Source organism: Homo sapiens, chromosome 18 (genome assembly GCF_000001405.40).
Source record: "Homo sapiens chromosome 18, GRCh38.p14 Primary Assembly".
Lineage (NCBI taxonomy): Eukaryota > Metazoa > Chordata > Mammalia > Primates > Hominidae > Homo > Homo sapiens.
Window position 1 is genome coordinate 64880691 of NC_000018.10, and position 20279 is coordinate 64900969.

Sequence of the window (20279 nt, forward strand, 5' to 3'; positions counted from 1 at the left end):
TGCACATGTATGTTTATTGCGGCATTATTCACAATAGCAAAGACTTGGAACCAACCCAAATGTCCAACAGTGATAGACTGGATTAAGAAAATGTGGCACATATACACCATGGAATACTATGCAGCCATAAAAAATGATGAGTTCATGTCCTTTGTAGGGACATGGATGAAATTGGAAATCATCATTCTCAGTAAACTATCACAAGAACAAAAAACCAAACACTGCATATTCTCACTCATAGGTAGGAATTGAACAATGAGATCACATGGACACAGGAAGGGGAATATCACACTCCGGGGACTGTTGTGGGGTGGGGGGAGGGGGGGAGGGATAGCATTGGGAGATATACCTTATGCTAGATGATGAGTTAGTGGGTGCAGCACACCAGCATGGCACATGTATACATATGTAACTAACCTGCACAATGTGCACATGTACCCTAAAACTTAAAGTATAATAAAAAAAAAATAAATCAAAAAAAAAAAAAAAAGCTTCTGCAGAGCAAAGGAAACAATCCATAGGGTAAAAAAATGAACTTTGGCTGGGCGCAGTGGCTCACGCCTGTAATCCCAGTACTCTGAGGGGCTGCGGCGGGCAGATCACAACGTCAGGAGATCAAGACCATCCTGGCTAACATGGTGAAACCACATCTCTACTAAAAATACAAAAAATTAGCCAGGTGTGGTGGCACGTGCCTGTATTTCCAGCTATGCAGGAGGCTGAGGCAGGAGAATCGCTTGAACCCAGGGAGGCGGAGATTGCAGTGAGCCGAGATCATGCCACTGAACTCCAGCCTGGGGGACAAAGAGAGACTCTGTCTCAAAAAAAAAATAATAATAATACCAATATGAAAAAGATCTACAAAATGGGAAAAATGTTTTCAAACCATATATCTGATAAGGAGCTAATATCCAAAATACACTTATAAAACTGAATTAAACAGCATAAAAACAAATAACCTGATTAAAAATTTAGTGAAGACGTGAATAGATATTTCTGCAAAGAAAACATACAAGTGGTCAATAGGTATATAAAAGGTATTCAATATCACTAATCATCAGGGAAATGCAAATCAAAACCACAATGAGTTATCTTCTCATACCTTTTATGATGGCTAATATTAAACAAGAGATAACAAGTGTTTATGGGGGTGTGGAGAAAAGAGAATGTTCGAACACTCTTGGTTGAAATATAAGTTGGTAGAACCATTATGCAAAACAGTATGAATCTTTATCAGTATAAAAATAGAACTAGCATATGATCCAGCAATCCCACCTCTGGAGATCCCACCCCTATCTCTCTATATCTATCTATCTATCTATCTATCTATCTATCTATCTATCTATCTATCTATCTATCTGTCTGTCTATCATCTATCTATCTTTCTATCTATCTATCTATCTTTCTATCTATCTATCTGTCTATCTATAACGGAATATTTTTCAGCCATAAAAATAAGGAAGTCCTGCTATTTGCAACAAACTGGGTGAATATGGAGAACGTTATGCTAAATGCAATATGCTAAAGACAGACACAGAAAGACAAGTATGACCTCACTTATATGTGGAAACTGAAAAAGCCATACTCATTACAGCAAAGAGTAGAATGTTGGTTACCAGGGGCAAAGAGGGTAGAAATGAGGGGAGTGAGAAAATGTCAATCAAAGTGTAAGAATGTTATAACATAAATAAATTATAGAGTTCTAATGAACTCTGTGATAGCTATGGTTAATAATACGGTATTGTGTACTAGATGTTTGCTAAGAGAGTACATCTTGTGTTCTCATCACACACAAAAACAATGGTTCCTATGTGAAGTTATGTATGTGTTCATTAGCTTGATCGTGGTAATCATTTCACAATGTATACATATATCAAAACATTATATTGTACACCTTAAATATATACAGATTATATTTGTCAGTTATACCACAATAAAGCTGAGGAAAAATAAATAATGGATGAGCTCCATATGTGACATCATCTGACTTAGCTCTGGACTGCATGCTTCACTATTACATGTATCAATTCTAAGCTCTCATTTTTATTTATTTATTCATTGTTTTTTATAGAGACAGGGTCTTGCTATGTTGACAAGGCTGGTCTTGAACTCCTAGACTCAAAACTATCCTCCTGCCGCCGCCTCCCAAACTGCTGGAATTACAGGCATGAGCAACTGCATCTGACCTCTAAGCTTCTATTTTTAAAGGTCTTGTTCTCCAAACATGTATTTGGTCTTCCCTTGACAGTGGGAAAAAAAATCTATCTTAAATGGCACTCAAAATAAGTTGTGATTTAAATAGGGAGAAGGGAGTAATGGTATTATATCAAAATAAGTGGCCTTGGCCCAGGGACCTTAGTCTTTACAAAAAGCTCTCACAACATTGTGTGACCTTGAGCAGCAGGGAATTATAAGCTGCTAGTCTTTGTTTGGCTACTCTATAAGGCACTTCCGTTTACGTCTGGCTTAGTAAGTGTAAATACAACCCCAAAGGAAAGAAACCAGGCTTTACATTGGGAAGTACACATTGAGACTTTTTTTTTTTCCGCAACAATAATACATGAAGAAAAGAAATATTATGCATGTCATTGCTTTCAAATAGAAAAATTATATCTATTGGGATTACTCTATTCTATCTATTCCTTAGGATTGTTAAAAAAAAGTATTCTTTTTTAAGTATTAACAAAGGAAATGATTTCTTACTGCCTTGTTACTATAGGGAGCTATATTTTCAGCAGGAGAGAAATGGGATCGCTTTCATTACTTTAATGGTATGACAGTTTTCCCAATGCAGAAAAGAATTTACTCTAGAGGCTTCAAAAGGCACTCATATGTAATGAAAAATTTTTGCCATATTGCAAATGCATATGATATTGGTCTACCTTTCAAAAACATGTGAAACTTTCTGCAGCTGTTTTATATAAAGTATTATGACACTGGGTAGTTTAACTTTTGAGATACTTCATGCATAAAAAAGTTTTCTGGGACAGACTTACAGATAACCCAACTGTATTTATTCATATTTAATGTTTGCTTTTGTTGAATGCACAAATGATTTACCCAACTGTGTAATGACATTCATTTCAATTTTATGGAACTATACATTTTCTTTTTGAATGGGATGGATGAGTTGTGTGAAGTCTGAAATTTATGTGCAATGAAGTAAAATGCTAGCAATGAAAATGCTATGATACTTAACTACTAGGAAAATATTTGATTGGGGGCAGGTATCTTTTCTATGTTTGTAACCTCTCTTTTCTTTTTTCGATGTTGTTTTTATTAGAACACAGTAGCAATGAAAAAGTAAATTGTAAACATTCATCACCTAAGCATAGCATTTATTGATTTTCTCATATACAGCAGTTTGCATACTTTGTGATATATGTAGGAAACCAAGAAAAATGAAGGGTTATAACTGTTTACTGATTATGGATCTCCATGAATATTTTTGAAACCAGTAACAACAGCAAAACCTCCATAACACAGTACATTATTACAAAAATACTCACTTAACTTGCCCAAGACCACAGCCTATAGCTGAAAGAGACAAATGATTCTGTGCCTGCAACATGTGTATGTCTTTATTTACTGAAAAGCCTCCATGTCTATCTCATATCTACATTCAGACTGCCATTCTCAATTCAAAGCAAATAATCATTGGTTTCAGAAGGTGACAATTATCTCTCAGTGTTTTAATTTCCCGTAACATAAGTAGATATTTGCTGAGATTAGCTGTATAAGTTTTATTCCATTATATCAACAGTTGAAGCCATAATATAGCAATGTAAATGTGCTAATGACAGCCTTTTGCTTACAAGTAGATTTAGATGAATATATGACCTGGCTCCACGAAAACAGATTTCCATTTAGATTTGAAAATCTAGTTAAGTACTGTGCATAATAATGGATGCAGAGTAGAATTAATAAATGTAAGTATCGATCAGTGGGTGATTGAGATTAAGGCTGAAACGCTACATAAAGGTTAGTTTCCACCACTTGTTAGCTAACAGTGTCAAATATGATACTTATCTTTTAACATTGTAGTATGAGAAAATATCTATTTAATATTTTCAAATAATGTAATTAGGTTTTCTTAAGAGTACATATTTCTAATGCTCTTAGAATCTACATCAATGATGTTGAATATTGATAGTTTAAGTCTTCTACAGTTCATGAATTCAGCTGACAATAGGAGACTAATGATCAGCGCAGAAAGTAGTTATAAGAAGCAGAAGTTTTAGGTTGTTGCAAAAGTAATTGCGGTTTTTGCCATTAAAAGTAATCACTTTTGCACCAATGTAATGGTCAGGTTTTAATTTTAAATTCATCATTTCTTCGATCTTGGGCAAGTCACGTTCTTCATTTTGCCTCTACTTTATACTTTACAAAAATATAAAGTGTTTGTCTGCTTCATAATGTTATAGTTCTTAGTAGGGGTAATTTGGAGAAAGAAATACTGCCTAAATGGAAGAAATAATAGTATCAATAAAAATATATAAATACAATAAGCACACTTAACTAAGGTTAAAAATCTAGTGCATTACTTAAATGAAGTATAAAACTAAGTTAATTTAAGTTCTGGCCACCTTTTTCAAGGAGATGCTACAACATGTATAAAATGTGAAGGCTCTCATTTATATTTGAATATATTATCTGAAAGTCAATGTCCAGTCCTATGCTACTTATTTAGTTGCTTGTTTTCCAGGAAATTTAATTTTCTGTAGCAAAGTCAAACTTAAGAAAAAAACACCAAACACCTAAAACAGCTATTGGCCATCCTGTCTCTAAAACTAGGCATTTTTAAATTTTATTACTTTAATTTTTTGTTACTATAGGTAATTTAGCATACTATTGTTTTCAGTTTTCACTATTTTTTCTTTTTACAATCTGAAGCAATGAAGAAAGAGTTGAGCAAAAAGGACTTGGGAATTATGACAGCTGAAAAAGCTCATCTCAGTGATAGCAGAAATGACAATTTGACAGCCTGCTATCAAAAAATAAGACAGAAGAACTATAAAATTTTTTTTGTAGTATGGTGAGCTTTCCTACTGATGACCTTGAATCAATAACAAAAACAAAGAATGAAACCATCTTTGATGTTCTCTGGCTAAGAAATCAGTGGTTTCTAATCTTTTATTTTTTTGAGACAGAGTTTCGCTCTTGTCTCCCAGGCTGGAGTGCAATGGCATGATCTTGGCTCACCACAACCTCCATCTCCTGGGTTCCAGCAACTCTTATGCCTCAGCCTCCCGAGTAGCTGGGATTAAAGGCTCCCCCCACCACACCCAGCTAGTTTTTGTATTTTTAGTAGAGACAGGGTTTCGCCATGTTGGTCTTGAACTCCTGACCTCAGGTGATCTGCCCTCCTCAGCCTCCAAAAGTGCTGGGATTACAGGCATGAGCCACTGCACCAGGCCTATAATCCATTTTTAAATGATGTCATAAAACCATGGAAAATTTATTTCTAAATTTTATTTTATTTTAAGTTCTGGGATACTTGTGCAGGACGTGCAGGTTTGTTACATAGGTAAATGTGTGCCATGGTGGTTTGCTGCACCTATCAACCCATCGCCAAGGTATTAAGCCCTGCATGCTCTCCCTCCCCGCACCCCCCCACCGGCCCCCTGAAAGGCCCTGATGTGTGGTTCCCCTCCCTGTGTCCATGAGTTCTCATTGTTCAACTTCCACTTATGAGTGAGAACATGCAGTGTTTGGAAACCATGGAAAATTAAACCAGGGAAGGATGTGAAACCTTATCTAAGACAATGAGTCCTCATTCTGCGGATGATAAACTAAAGCAGTTAGAGTTTCATGATTTACCCAAGGTTACAAATAAAGGTTTAAAATTGATAAATTTTAGTTGATGGGGTAAATTTTAGTATCTATAAAGCTTTTAAATATGAAATCATTTAAACCTTAGCAATGAAGGGGGTGTGTGTGTGTGTGTGTGTGTGTGTGTGTGTGTAGCTATACTTATATATCCATACTTATTTATATACCAACATATGCACTGCTCCAGCAACTATATATGAGAAACATATGTCTTAGTTGTCAAGTATAACATTCCTCCAATATTTCTACAATATTTTAAAAACTCACAGTTGAGCATGAACATATTTGTGCTATTAGGATTCACCCTAAAGTTACAAGCCTACATCTGGGAAATAAAGCTGATTAAGTCCAGAATAATTTAATCCTTGATGTTGGATTGGGAGAGCAGAAGTGTCACTTTTTTTTGGTACCTTATATCTGACAAATACACAAGATAACAGATGAAATTCACTTATGTGAATGTGTTATGTATGGGTTAAAAAGCAAGTCAGAAAGATAGAGGTAGAAGATAGCAGTGAGTTATCTTAGAATTTAAAACCATGAATAGCCATTTATTATATTACAGTTTTCAAAATGTGATCCATGAGTCATTACATGACAATTGCCACAATAATTTAATGCTGTGATTCTCATACAATGATATAATTGCAATGCAATGGAAGATGACATAGGTCTGGCACCTGTGTGGGGAGAAAAGGAAGGAAGGAAGAATGAGTAAGAAGAACTTCACATTGCAGTCCAGTTCTGAGAACACTGGATCCAGGCAATGAAAATCCCGCCACCACCCCTCACACATCTATTTATGAAAAGTCTAATTAGGCTTTGTAATATTTCTGAGATGAAGTAGTATTTAGGAAGAAATCTGAAGAATAAATAGAAATTATGCAGGAGAAAAGAAATGAGTGTTTCAAGAACTAGCATATGCATAGACTTAGAGGTGAGACAGAAAGCTTAGCATACATGAAGTACTAAAAGATGTTCAATCTATTGACCATAAAGTAAGGAGTAGCTGTGGATTGCAGAAAATTAAGTCAATTTACAAAAGAAAGTGATTTATAAGCCTGGGTAAGGAGTTAGTTTTTGAGAAAGGAATTTTCTAAAATGGCAGAGATTAAACATATTTAAATACTTATAGGAATAAGCTGATAAAAAGAACTTGATTAGTAAAAAAAGGGAATAGACAACTGACAGAAACAGTTCTTTGTTAGGAGTAGTATTGGCACTTACCTTATATTCTCTATTAAGTAGAGCATATCTTGTCCTTACATATCTCCTCTCCTCATAGCCAAACTTCATGAGAGAGTTATCTTGGTTCCTTGAATTGTTTTCCACCCATGCATCTCATACCTCACCCCATTACAATTTACTGTTATCTCTATGCCCACCACTAAACTTGATCTAACAAAAATAATCAATGACAATGATCCCCTTTAAATAAATTCAATGGATAGCCCACATTACATACTTACTAGATTTTCAGTGACCTTTACTTATGTTGATCATGACCATCTTTTCAATAATTCTCTTCATAATGCCTGCACATCTGCACAAAAAGATGCATAAATAATCTCCTAATTTGACTACCTCCCTTCCTTCTCTTTTCCAGTAGCAATTATTATTATTTCCAGGCAACTATTATCAATTCTTTTTTTGTCTCCTTAGTGCATTCTTGAATTAAGCACTGACGTCTATCAACTAGCTAGTTATTTTTTTTAAGAAATGTAATTCTGCTCTTGTCACCCCCCTGATTAACCTAACATATTCAAATATTATTTCTACTAATTAAATTGTGTAGGATAATTAGATATTCACCAGTTTTCTAAAGGGGCACCATGCATATGTACATTAGATAAAGGACTAAAGTTCTGCCAAACTTAAAGTTTTAGAAGAAAGAATAAAATAGTTCTCCATAACTACCGAAGTATGCATAAGCAAGAGTGGCTCTTTCAATTCCAGAGCTTGTCCCATATCTCATTCTAATAAAAAGGATGCCACCTATGATCTCTGTATATTTCCTTCCATATGTTCTTGCCAACACCAAATCTAGCAGCTTGAAAAGTGTTGAGGATTAAAAAAGAAACAGACTTTTCTCTTAGCTTTTATGCTTCTATATCATGACACTCTCTTGCTTTCCTTTTTTTTTCTTTGTCTGTACCTTCTCATTAGGCTTGAGCTGAAAAGCAATTTATATTACTGAAATACAAGAGTACAAATGAAGATAATTTTTCTGTGTGTTTAATGCTCTGTCCCTAATAACTGAAACAGTCCCTGGAACATACTAAATTTTCTCTGTGTTAAAAGCCTTCAATAAATGAAGAAAACTAGAATCTGTGCTGCCAGATTCTCGTTTGACAATCTTCACCAACATATTGCAGAAAAAAATCACCAGACAGAAGTAGGCATTTAAACTGAAAGTTATGATATAGTAGGACCCAAGTGGGGTTGTTAGTTTCCAGTGATGGTCAATCTGAAATGATGTGGGGACATACACCATGAAGAAACAGAGGAAGATGTATTAATAAGATATAAAGAAACAAACACAGAAAATGGCTGACTCCTCTTAACTGTGTGGCAGTAGAGAAGACCCACGATGGCCTCTGTTACGTACAATCTTTTTGTTTACTTACCTGATGAACCACATGTTTGTGGAGTCCCATGGTCATCCATCCTGCATTCACTTCCTATGTCTCATCAATAAATTGCGGCATATTATTTAGTGACCAAAATGCCCAACTAACAGATAAAATCTTATAAACTTGCAGTAAATCATAATAGATGAATGTCTCCTTAAAGTAAAATAGTGGTTAAAATACGGCTGAAAATACTTTCCACCTCTGCAGATGAAATTAGCAGACAGTCTGGAAACACGTGCTAGTGGAGGCAGCATATGGAGGATAAGGCAATGAGTGAAATGGGTAAATAATTGAATTGAGGACAAAATCTTCTGGATTTCTTGCTCAATTCTGATGCTTTCTAGAAGCAAAGCCTTGGGGAATTCAGTTAATCTCCTTGAGTTTGGTTCTCACATTTGCAAAGTAAGGATTAAAAATATCTTGCCTATCTCTCCGAGGCATTGAGAGGATCAGGTTTCATAATATCTGTGAAATGGCTTTCTAAAATGTATAACAATCTTTAAATCATAATTCTTCTTAAAACTATTATCATAAAACTCCATTCCATGTCCACTGGTACTTCTTAAAGGAAACTGTGTCTTTTGTTTTTTAACACAAATTATAAGGTCAGTTTTACCTTTGCGTTCAGTGGTAACTGAAGCAGCTTCTCCCCCAGAGTCTGCAAAGTCAAAGCACAGCATAAGGCACTGCAAGTACAGGTCTGAAACCCGAATAAAGATCAGGGAACTACAGAGAGTCTAGTTCAAGCTAAAACTGCCTCTTGTTCACTTTCTCTGGGGAGAAAAAGAAAAAAAAAAAAAAAAAAGAAAAAGGAACAAGAAAAGACACCGCTGCCTAGAATGGAAGTCTTGATATAATAATGTCTGAGTCTGGCTCTTTGAAAGGAGTTTAATCACTGCTAACTTAAGGAAGGGGAAGGAGGAGGGCCTGTCACCTCAGTCCCTGAAAAGAGAGGTCAAAAATCTGCTTCTGCTTTTTGCGACAATTAGTCCCAGTGAATGCTCCCTGCAAGATATTCTGAGGATGGAAAGGTCTTTATACAGAATAAAAAAATTGTTCTTATTGTTACACCTATGTCTTCCAAGCAGAGAGCACATCTGCACATCTGTTACAGTGTACAATGTTGGTATGGCTAGAGAATACATGTACAAAAGGAGAAGATACAATAATCTTAGTGTCTGGTTACAGAGGCAATGTATTTGGATGTTTGCTTGGCATTTTAGAAATATTTCCATGGTATCATTGTCATAAAGCCTGAATTAAATACCATGGTTCACCTGAAATTTGGGGCCCAGAGTGAACTAAAATAAAAACATGAATCCAGTAACTCAAATGTTTCTTCTCCAGCAGATATAGAATTAGGAACAATGATTTGGCTTGGGAAAAATAAGAACCTATCAACCTTCCTCAGCATACAACAAATCAAAGCAAGTAGTTTACTTCCTTTTTTTTTTTACTTCTTGTGAACTCCAAGCAAAAGCAAGGAAAGGATGAATTGTTTGGTTTTGGGTGGTTTCACACTTCCAAATCCTCAATGATGTACCACATCTTAATGCAATCATTCAGTGTCACTAAACAATACAGAGCTCTGCTGTGTGTGAAAATGTGACGAGGAAAGGCACCTGTAGCAGTAATGCAGTCAGTAAAGTCACATAGTTTAGTATTACAAAGATGTGGGAGACAACATGTTTATGTCTTTTTACTTTTTATATCAGAAAAAATGAGAACCAGTAAAACCTAATGTTGTACAAGGTTACAAAACTGACTAATGTTGAAATTGGGATGAGAACCTGTTTCCTAATTTCTAGATCTGTGAAATTTCCTACTTGTATTATCACTTCCCTATTTTTCCTCAGGAATAGTTCTAAACGAATGCTTCCAGACAAGATTAACTCATTGCTCTATAAATATATAATATTCATCTACAAGAATATAACTATTGTGGGAGTTTATTTTTCATACTTTGCTTACGTTGATAGGTCCAGAACGGAGAGTGAAACACTGATTTGATGCTTTCAAAAACATTTTAATGCTAAAGTTCCCCTTCTGAATTAGAGAAGATAGCCTTGAAATTCTACAAACCTGCCAGTAACAGTGACTCTGCTCTGTGCTGTTTTTTCTACATACTCACTCATGATATTGTTTTATTAAAAAGCTGATAAAAACACATAAAAAGAAAAATCATCATAAGGTGGAGTTACAAAACCAAATAATGCTTGATGCTGTAGTATGATAGGATTAGAAGAAAAATATAAAAACTAAAATGAACACCAACTATATGTGCCCAATCATTAAAATTAATTTTAAAAAATTCAACCCATGAATAAGAATAATACATTTTTCCATAGATAGAGGCAAAGAAACAAACACAATTACAATTACTTGTGTATATTATTGTTATTAAACCTTTTGAGTTCTCATTTTCAGGGATAAACATTCTAAAATACTGAAAAGGAAGGAAAAAGAGAATGAAAGACAAGTATTTGTGTAACTGCAAATATTCAAATTTCAACAAGCTTTCAAATATTCTTTACTTAAATGAAAATCCATCCAGTAGGGAAATACAGCATTTGTTTAAAATTTTATTGTAATATAAAAGTATCCTGAATTGCTCAGATACAGGGATACACAACTATAGTAGACTGAATAGTGTCTCTTCACCCAACCCTTGAAAACATGTTATTCATATCCTAATCCCTAGAACTTGTGAATGCTACCTTATTTAGAAAAAGAAAATGTGCAGATGTGATTAAGAATTTTGAGATGGAGAGATTACTCTAGGTTGTAGGGATGGGTCCAATATGCAATAATAAGAGTCCTTACAAGAGGAAGGCAGGGGGAAATTTGACTATGGAAGAGAAGAAAACAATGCAACCATAAAAGTAGAGACTGCAGGAATATGGCCAAGAACCAAGCAATGCTGGCAGCCACCAGAGGTTGAGAGAGGTTCAGAGCTTCCAGAAGGAACCAGCCTTATTGACACCTTGATTTTCACATTGTAAGACCCTTTTCAGTCATCTGGCCTCTACAACTGCAAAAGAATAAATGTTAATTGGTTTAAGTTGCTAAGTTTATGGTAATTTGTTACACTAGCAATAGGAAACCAATATAACAGCAATAGATGAATTCATTAAGACAAACATTAGTGACACCTAATTTGAAAAGAAAAATTAAACAATGTCCTTACATGGGAACTTTGGAGGAGGACATGTGTTTGAAAAGATTATTATCTGAATATGATCATTGTATTAGTCCGTTTTCATGCTGCTGATAAAGACATACCCGAGACTGGGTAATTTATACAAGAAAAAAGGTTTAATGGACTTATGGTTCCACATGGCTGGGGAAACCTCACAATTATGGCAGAAGGCAAGGAGGAGCAAGTCACCTCTTAAGTGGATGGCAGCAAGTAAAGAAAGAGCTTGTATTGGGAAAGTCCCCCTTCTGGAACAGACAGACCTCATGAGACTTACTCACTATCACAAAAACAGCACAGGAAAGGCCTACCCCATAACTCAATTACCTCTCACCAGGTCCGTCCCATAACACATGGGAATCCAAGATGAGATCTGAGTGGGGACACAGCTAAAACATATTCCACCTCTGGCCCCTCCCAAATCTCTTGTCCTCTCATTTCAAAACCAATCATACCTTCCCAACAGTCCCCTAAAGTCTTAATTCATTTCAGTATTAACTCAAAAATCCATAGCTCAAAGTCTCAACTGAGCCCAGGCAAGTCCCTTCTTCCTATGGACTTGTAAAATCAAAAAAAGTTAGTTACTTCCTAGATATGACAGGAGTATAGGCATTGGGTATATACAGCCATTCCAAACGGGAAAAACTGGCCAAAACAAAGGGGCTACAGGCCCCATGCAAGTCGGAAATCCAGCAGGGCAGTCAAATCTTAAAACTCCAAAATGACCTCCTTTGACTTCATGTCTCATATCCAGGTCATGCTGATACAAGAGGTAGCCTCCCATGGCTTTGGGTAGCTCCACACCTGTGGCTTTGCAGGGTATAGCCCCACTCCTGGCTGCTTTCTTGGGCTGGCATTGAGTATCTGTGACTTTTTCAGGCACATGGTGCAAGCTGTCAGGGGATCTACCATTCTGGGGTCTGGAGTATGGTGACCCTCTTCTCATAGATCCACTAGGCAGTGCCTAGGACTCTGTGTGGGGGCTCTGACCCCACATTTCCCTTCCACACTGCCCTAGCAGAGGCTTTCCATGAGGGCCCTGCCCCTGCAGCAAACATCTGCCTGGACATCCAGGCATTTCCACGCATCCTCTGAAATCTAGGCAGAAGTTCCCAAATCTCAATTCTTGACTTCTGTGTACCCACAGGCTCAATACCACATGGATGCTGCCAAGCCTTGGGGCTTCCACCCTCTGTAGCAACAGCCTGAGCTGTACCTTTGTCCCTTTCAGCCATGGCTCGAGCGGCTGACACAAAAGGTGCCAAGTCCCTAGAATGCAAACAGCAGGAGGTCCCTGGGCCTAGCAAATGAAACCATTGTTTCCTCCTAAGTCTCCAGGCCTGTGATGAGAAGGGCTGCTGCAAAGGTCTCTGACATGCCCTGGAGACATTTCCCCCATTGTCTTGGGGACTAACATTCGGTTCCTCATTACTTATGCAAATTTCGGCAGCTGGTTTGAATTTCTCCCCAGAGAAAGGGATTTTCTTTTTTATCACATTGTCAGGCTGTAAATTCTCCAAACTTTATGCTCTATTTCCTTTTTAAAACTGAATGTCTTTCACAGCATCCAAGTCACCTTTTGAATGCTTTGCTGCTTAGAAATTTCTTCTGCCAGATACCCTAAGTCATCCTCTCTCAAGTTCAAAGTTCCACAAATCTCTAGTGCAGGGGCAAGATACCTCCAGTGTCTGCTAAAACATAACAAGAATCAGCTTTGCTCCAGTTCCCAACAAGTTCCTTTTCTCCATCTGAGACCACCTTAGTCTGGATTTCATTGTCCATATCACTGTCAGCATTTTGTTCAAAGCCATTCAACAAGTCTCTAGGAAGTTCCAAACTTTGTCACATTTTCCTGTCTTTTTCTGAACCCTTGAAACTGCCCCAACCTCTGCCTGTTATCCAGTTCCAAAGTTGCTTCCATATTTTTGGTATCTTTTCAGCAGTTCCCCACTCTACTGGTACCAATTTACTGTATTAGTCTGTCTTTATGTAGCTGATAAAGACATACCATAGACTGGGCAATTTATACAGGAAAAAAGGTTTAAAGGACTTACAGTTCCATGTGGATGGGGAAGTCTCACAATCATGGTAGAAGGTAAAGAGGAGCAAGTCATGTCTTACATGGCTGGCAGCAAGCAAAGAGAGAGCTTGTGCAGAGAAATGGCCCCTTATAGAACCATCAGAGATCATGAGGCTTATCCACTATTACAAGAACAGCATAGGAAAGACCTGCTCCCATGATTCAATTACCTCCTGCCAAGTCCCTACCACAACCTGTGGGAATTCAAAATGAGATTTGAGTGGGGACACAGCAAAACCATTTAAAAACCATCTTGTTTTTCTATGATTTAATTCATTAGAAATAGGGAAGAATAAATTGTGGGACTCTGTTACACAATAAGGTAACTATAACTAATAATGTATTTTATATTGCAAAATAGCTAGAAGAAAGGATTTTAAATGTCATCATCACAAAGATATGATAAATATTAAAGTGATGGATGTGCTACTTACCCTGATCTGATCATTATACAAGGTATATAAGTATTGAAAATTCACACTGTAACCCATAAATATGTATGATTATAGTGTATTAATTATAAATAAAGCTTAAAAATATGTCATCCAGCTTGTGTTAGGCTTCTTGTTTCTAAGTAGAATTTAGTCCCAACTTCAATAGCTTTCATTTAAGCTATTTTTTTTCTTCCTAATATTCTCTCTATATCCTGCTTTCCTGTAAAATATATTATGGCACTCATTTAAAATTAAGCCACAACTTAAAATTATGTATTGTACTAGGTTTGCACATGGACATTTTTAGGGTTATAATATGAGGGCCTAACAGACCACACTATCATGAAAAGTCTTACCAGGCTTGGAAGAGAAGAAAAATGAAGCAAGTGAGATCCCCCAAGCACTTGCTCTCACATCTGCCCCTGAAACATCATTTCTATCTATTTACATGGCATTTCCACCTGGTGATGAAAGTCAAATGCTGCCCAAGATGAGAAAATCTCTAGGGAGCAGTAATGTGAATTGGAAAAAAGGTGAAGCTATTTACAAGAATACAAATGTGAAGTTACCTGCTCATTTAATTTTATAGACTCATTCAAAAATAGCCCTTGAAAAAAGAACAGGAGATTAAATCAAAAGAAAGGTTTTATGGACTTAATTAGGCAAAGTATAAAATTTGAAAGCTAAAAATCTGGAAGTGAATTCAAGCTTCACCAGTCTTTTACTTCCCTTATTTATGTATTGTGGCAGATATACACAAAACTGTACTCCAACAAGTCAAGTCATTGTATTATAACCATGCTTGAGGGTGGATGGAGTCAGTGACATGCTTCGGGTCAACAGAATATTGGCATACTTCAGAGAAATTGCAATAGTTCTAGACTACTGCAATAAAGAAAATATTGCAATAAAGAGAGTCACAGAATCTTTTTTGGTTTCCCAGTGCATATAAAAATTATCACTACATTTACAATATACTGTAGTATATTAAGTGTGCAATAGCATGATGTCTCTGTCTCTCTATATATATACCCTGTATATAGAGAGTTATGTACATCATATATATAACAATAAAGTATTTTTAAATTAAGTTGTATATATATATAGACATATATATGAGTATTTTAAGCTATATGTGAGTATTTTTAAATTAAGGTGTATATATATACAGATATCTATAGACATATCTCTACATATATGTCTATATATACACACATGCACAAAGATTAATAAAAATACTTGATATGTATATATAGGATATATATGAAGTATATATATGATGTATATGTCTCTTTATATACAGTTATGTATAGTAGGTTTCATCTCAATAAACCACCTTTTTTGCTCACGTATAGGAAATAACTCCATTCATTCAAGTTGGATCATGAGATTATAACAATTCAGTCACATAATCAGACTCCACTTCCAATTCTCTTGCTGTTTACATCACATCTACGGTTACTTCCTCCGCTGAAGTCTTGAACTCCTCAAAGTCATCCAGTAGGGTTGGAATTAAGTTTGTACAAACTCCTGTTAATATTGATATTTTGACCTCCTTCCATGAATCACTAATGTTTTTAATAACATCTAGAATGATAAATTCATTCCAGTAGGTTTTTAATTTACTTGGCCCAGATCCATCAGAATAATCACTATCTATGTCAGCTATAGGCTTACAAAATGCATTCCTTGAATAATAAAAATTGAAAGTAAAAATTACTCCTTGATCTATAGCTGAATAATAGATGTTGTGTTAGCAGGCATGAAAACAACATAAATTTTCTTGATAGCTCTGATGGAGCTTTTGGGTGACCAGGTACATTGTCAATGAACAGTAATATTTTGAATGAAATCTTTTTCTTTTTTTCCTGAGCAGTAGATCTCAGCAATCATCTTAAAATATTCAGTAAATCATGCTATAAACAGATGTGCTATCATCCAGGCTTTGTTGTTCTATTTAGAGAGCACAGGCTGAGTAGAGTTAGCCTGAATTTTAGAACACTAGGATTTTTTGAATGGTAAATGAGCATTGGCTTCAATTTAAAAGCACCACCTACCCTAGCCCCTAACAAGAGAGCCGCCTGTCATTTGAAACTTTATAGCCAGAAATTGATTTCTCCTCTCTTGCTATGAAAGTCCTAGATGACATATTCTTCCAATGTAAGGCTGTTTTTTTTTTTCAATGAAAATCTTTTGTTTAGTGTAGCCAGTAAGAACATACAACATTGACTGATTAAGTTTGACATTTATCAATTATCTTATGAAGAGCTTTTGGATAATTTGCTACAGTTCCTACATCCGCACTTTCTGCTTCACCTTGCACTTTTATGTTATGGATATGGCTTCTTAAACCTCATGAACCAACCTCTGCTAGCTTTTGACTTTCCTTCTGCATCTTTCTCACGTCTCTCAGTCTTCATAGAATTGAAGAGAGTTAGGTCTGGATTAGAATTTGGCTTAAGGGAATGTTGTGGCTGAATTGATCATCCATCTAGACCACTAAAACGCTCTCCATGTCAACAATAAGACTGTTTCACTTTCTTATCACTCTTATGCTTGCTGAAATAAATGACTAATAGTTACTAAGTTTTAATATGCAAAGTCTTTTTGCATGTATTAACTGGTAAAGACTGTATAAAGATGATTATAGACTTTATAGTTTATGTGGTAAGTAACTCACTTTTAATTTTTGTCAAGAACTTTTTCTTTGTGTTCACAACTTGCTAATTTTTTGATGCAAGAAGCCTAGTTTTCAGCCTATCTTCATGTTTGACTTGCCTTTCTCACTAAATATTATCATTTCTGGCTTTTGAAGTAAAGTGAGAGAAGTATATTTCTTTCTTTCCCTTAGACTTTTACACGCCATTGCAAGGTTATTAACTGGCCTGATTTCAATGTCGTTGTGTCTTAGGGAATAGGAGGGCCCGAGGAGGGGGAGAGAGGAAGGAACATCCTGTCGATGGAGCAGTAAGAACATACAATATTGATTGATTAAGTTTGACATTTTATATGGTCATGATTCATGGTGTTCCAAAACAATTATAATGGGTAACACCAAAGATCACTGATCACAGATTATTATAACAGATATAATCACAATGAAAAGTTTAAAATAGTCTAAGAATACCACAGTGTGACACAGAGATAAGAAGTGAGCACATGATGTTGAACAAACAATGCCCGAAGACTTGCTTGATGTAGGGTTGCCACAAATTTTCACTTTGTAAAAAATGCAGTATCTGTGAAGCACAATAAAACAAAGCACAATAAAATGAGGTATGCTTCTATAGCAAAAGTGATGGGGTGGCCCTCTCATGATTATGTTACTTTACAAAAGACTCAACCTTACAGAAGTGAAGAGAGTCTCTTGCTATTTTTGAAGAAGTTAGGTCTCACATGGTGTGAGAATCTTTGGGAGTTTCACATGGCAAAGAACTCAGAGTGGGGAATGTCTCTTAGAGCTGACAGTAATGTCTGCGTGACAGCCAGCAAGAAAATAGGACCTCAGTCTCAGAACTGCAAAAGAATGAATTCTGCCAACCGTGGAGATAGAAAGAGAACCTCAGGTCCTAGGAAGAAACACAGCAGGCTGTCACCTTGGTTGAAGCCACGGAAGATCCTAGATGACTAAGCCAAGCTGTTTTGTGACTCCTGTCCCACAGAAACTAGATAATAAATGTTAAGCTACTGAATTTGGGATAATTCATTGAGCAACAATAGAAAATTAACACATCTACAAATTATGTAAATCAGTTCTATACAGTCTTTTCAAATAATGGATGTAAAAAGACTTGTGCACAGTAAAACTTAGTTATCTGTATACTTAGTTTACTATTTTGAAAAATACAGGATTAAAGCCATGCAAAAGCTATAATTCCATACATTAGTTTACATATATAAAGATGCTTTATCAACATCAAGTTTTGAGAAATTTGTGAAACCTCCTAATTTGTAAATCAACATCCACAATCTAATCAACATAAAGATTTGGAAGACATTCACTTTGTCACCATCAGTCAATATGTCTGAATTCTACTCTTTTACATTTTGATATATTTAGTCTTGAGATTGAAATTATACTTTTCAATAGAAATTGTTTAATGTAAATTATTTTAACAGATTCACTCTAACCCTAATAGAGGCTTGTTAGTTAATTATCTGGGGGAAAAAGCTAATGGCACAAGCTAGACTTTCTAGATATGAACTCATATTTTGATACTCCTTTGCAATGGTGGCATAAACACAAGTCTGTTGTGTGGATTTTGATGTCAAGACCAGGCTTACATCTAAGTTGTACTCTTACTTTTTATTTGACCTTGAAGTCACTTAATCTCTCCTGGGACCTTAGTTTCTTAAACTTCAAAATGAAAGCGTCCCTCATCACTATTGTTGATGTCCATGAAGATATTTTCTAAAATGTAACTTCTTATAAAATGTTACTTGTCATTTAATATTTTTTATTTTACTGCTATTTAATTAATGTGAAAATGACAAATAAGAAAAAGAGATCATTCTTTGATGTATCATTTTTCTACAATCTCAATTATGTAGTTAGAGTCTTGTTCTATGATAAAAAGTCTTTTCTTAAAATAAGTTTTTTTAAGTCCTTTTTTTAAAAAATTTTTGCCTTTCGGACAGTTGCTTCTGCAATTCTCACAGCCCTTATAATTTCCATCTTTTCACTTTCTTTCATTCAAGTGAGAAAATCCGTCAAGGTGATCAGAAAAAATGTCAAACATGGTCAGAATGTTGAGTTAAATTATCAGCACATTTCAGATTTCTGACTATGCCACTATCACAAGAAAGCAAGTAATAGCAAACTGTTATCAAATTACTGATCAGGTTTTAATAGAAATTAATTGTACTTCAAATACAGATTTGTGATATACCATCCCAGCTTTTAAAACTTCAATAAAGCAGCATTGCACATAATGTAGCATTTTATGTAATATAACTTGTATTACAGATTACTAGATTTTGAAACCAGGGCTTCTCTTTTGTCTTTCCAGATGTTCTTTTTTTTTTTTCAACAGCTTTACTGAGTTATCTTTGACATAGAAAATTTCATATATTCAAGGTGTATTAAGTGATCTTGTAATATCTGTATATGCTATGAAAAGATCCCCACAATCAAATTACCATATCCATTACCTCTAAAAGTTAGCATTTTGTACATTTATGTATGTGTATTGATAATATTGATAATGTGTATTTGATAATATTAAATATAGATAATATTTAATTTATGATCTATTCTCTAGTAAATTTCGAGTATACAATAGAATTTCATTAACCCTCATTACTAGGCTGTTCACTACATTTTCAGAGCTTATTCATCTTGCATAACTGACAGTTTGTACCTTTTGACCAATATCACCCCATTCTCCCTCAACCAGTCCCTGTACCTCCATTTGTATGAGTGATCAAATCATCATAGGAATTATTCAGTTTAACTGAATTAAGCATGGAGGGAGATATTTATAGCTTTTGTACCAAAGAGACTGATAATTAAGCAATTTCTATCTAAAAATACTATATTTCTTTATTACACAGAGAAACATGTAATCTCAATGTCAAGAAATGTGCCTCTTTTTGTTTGTTTATCCCACGATCCTCATTACTTAGCACAAAACTTGATATGTGATACAATTTAGTAGGGCTCTGTGACATAGTATATTAGGTTGGTGCAAAAGTAGTTGCGGTTTCTACCATTAAAATTGATGGCAAAAACCACAATTATGTTTGCACCAAGCTAGATTTAGAAGCACAGACTTTGTCATCAGAAGACATGGGTTTAGCTGTATGATTTACAGCAGCCTACTTATATTCTTTAAGCCTCAAATTTATCAAATATAAGAGATAAGCAATAATATTATATCCCTTGTATATTATTATGAGGATTAAATAAGATAATGTCTATAAAGTGCCAAACTCTGCACCTTGTACATAATAAACTGTAAATAATTTTTACTATTACAATGCTAGTTAGCAACAAAAAATGCATAATTATTTTAATTTAGATAAGCCTTGTATTAGTTATGATTAGGTTCAGAATTAGTTTTAACAGTGGCTTATAGAAAAAAGGATTGTTTGTTCACTTTTAT

The 20279-nt window shown here is 35.2% G+C and overlaps 2 long non-coding RNA genes across 5 annotated transcripts in view; one reads left to right on the forward strand and one right to left on the reverse strand.

Moving 5' to 3' along the window:
• LOC107985178 (uncharacterized) overlaps window positions 1-20279 on the forward strand; it is a 125185-nt gene that overhangs the window by 54233 nt on the left and 50673 nt on the right. The gene's annotated exons all lie outside the window — the stretch shown is intronic.
• LOC101927404 (uncharacterized) overlaps window positions 1-20279 on the reverse strand; it is a 121424-nt gene that overhangs the window by 9077 nt on the left and 92068 nt on the right. Inside the window, exons 5-6 of one of the 4 annotated variants that reach the window (XR_935581.2) lie at window positions 7302-7375; window positions 6398-6512 (exon numbers count right to left, since the gene is read on the reverse strand). The exons of the other annotated variants lie outside the window; for them this stretch is intronic. This is a non-coding gene — a long non-coding RNA (uncharacterized LOC101927404). Of the gene's footprint in view, window positions 1-6397; window positions 6513-7301; window positions 7376-20279 lie in introns of those variants that run through there. 4 annotated transcript variants of the gene reach the window in all.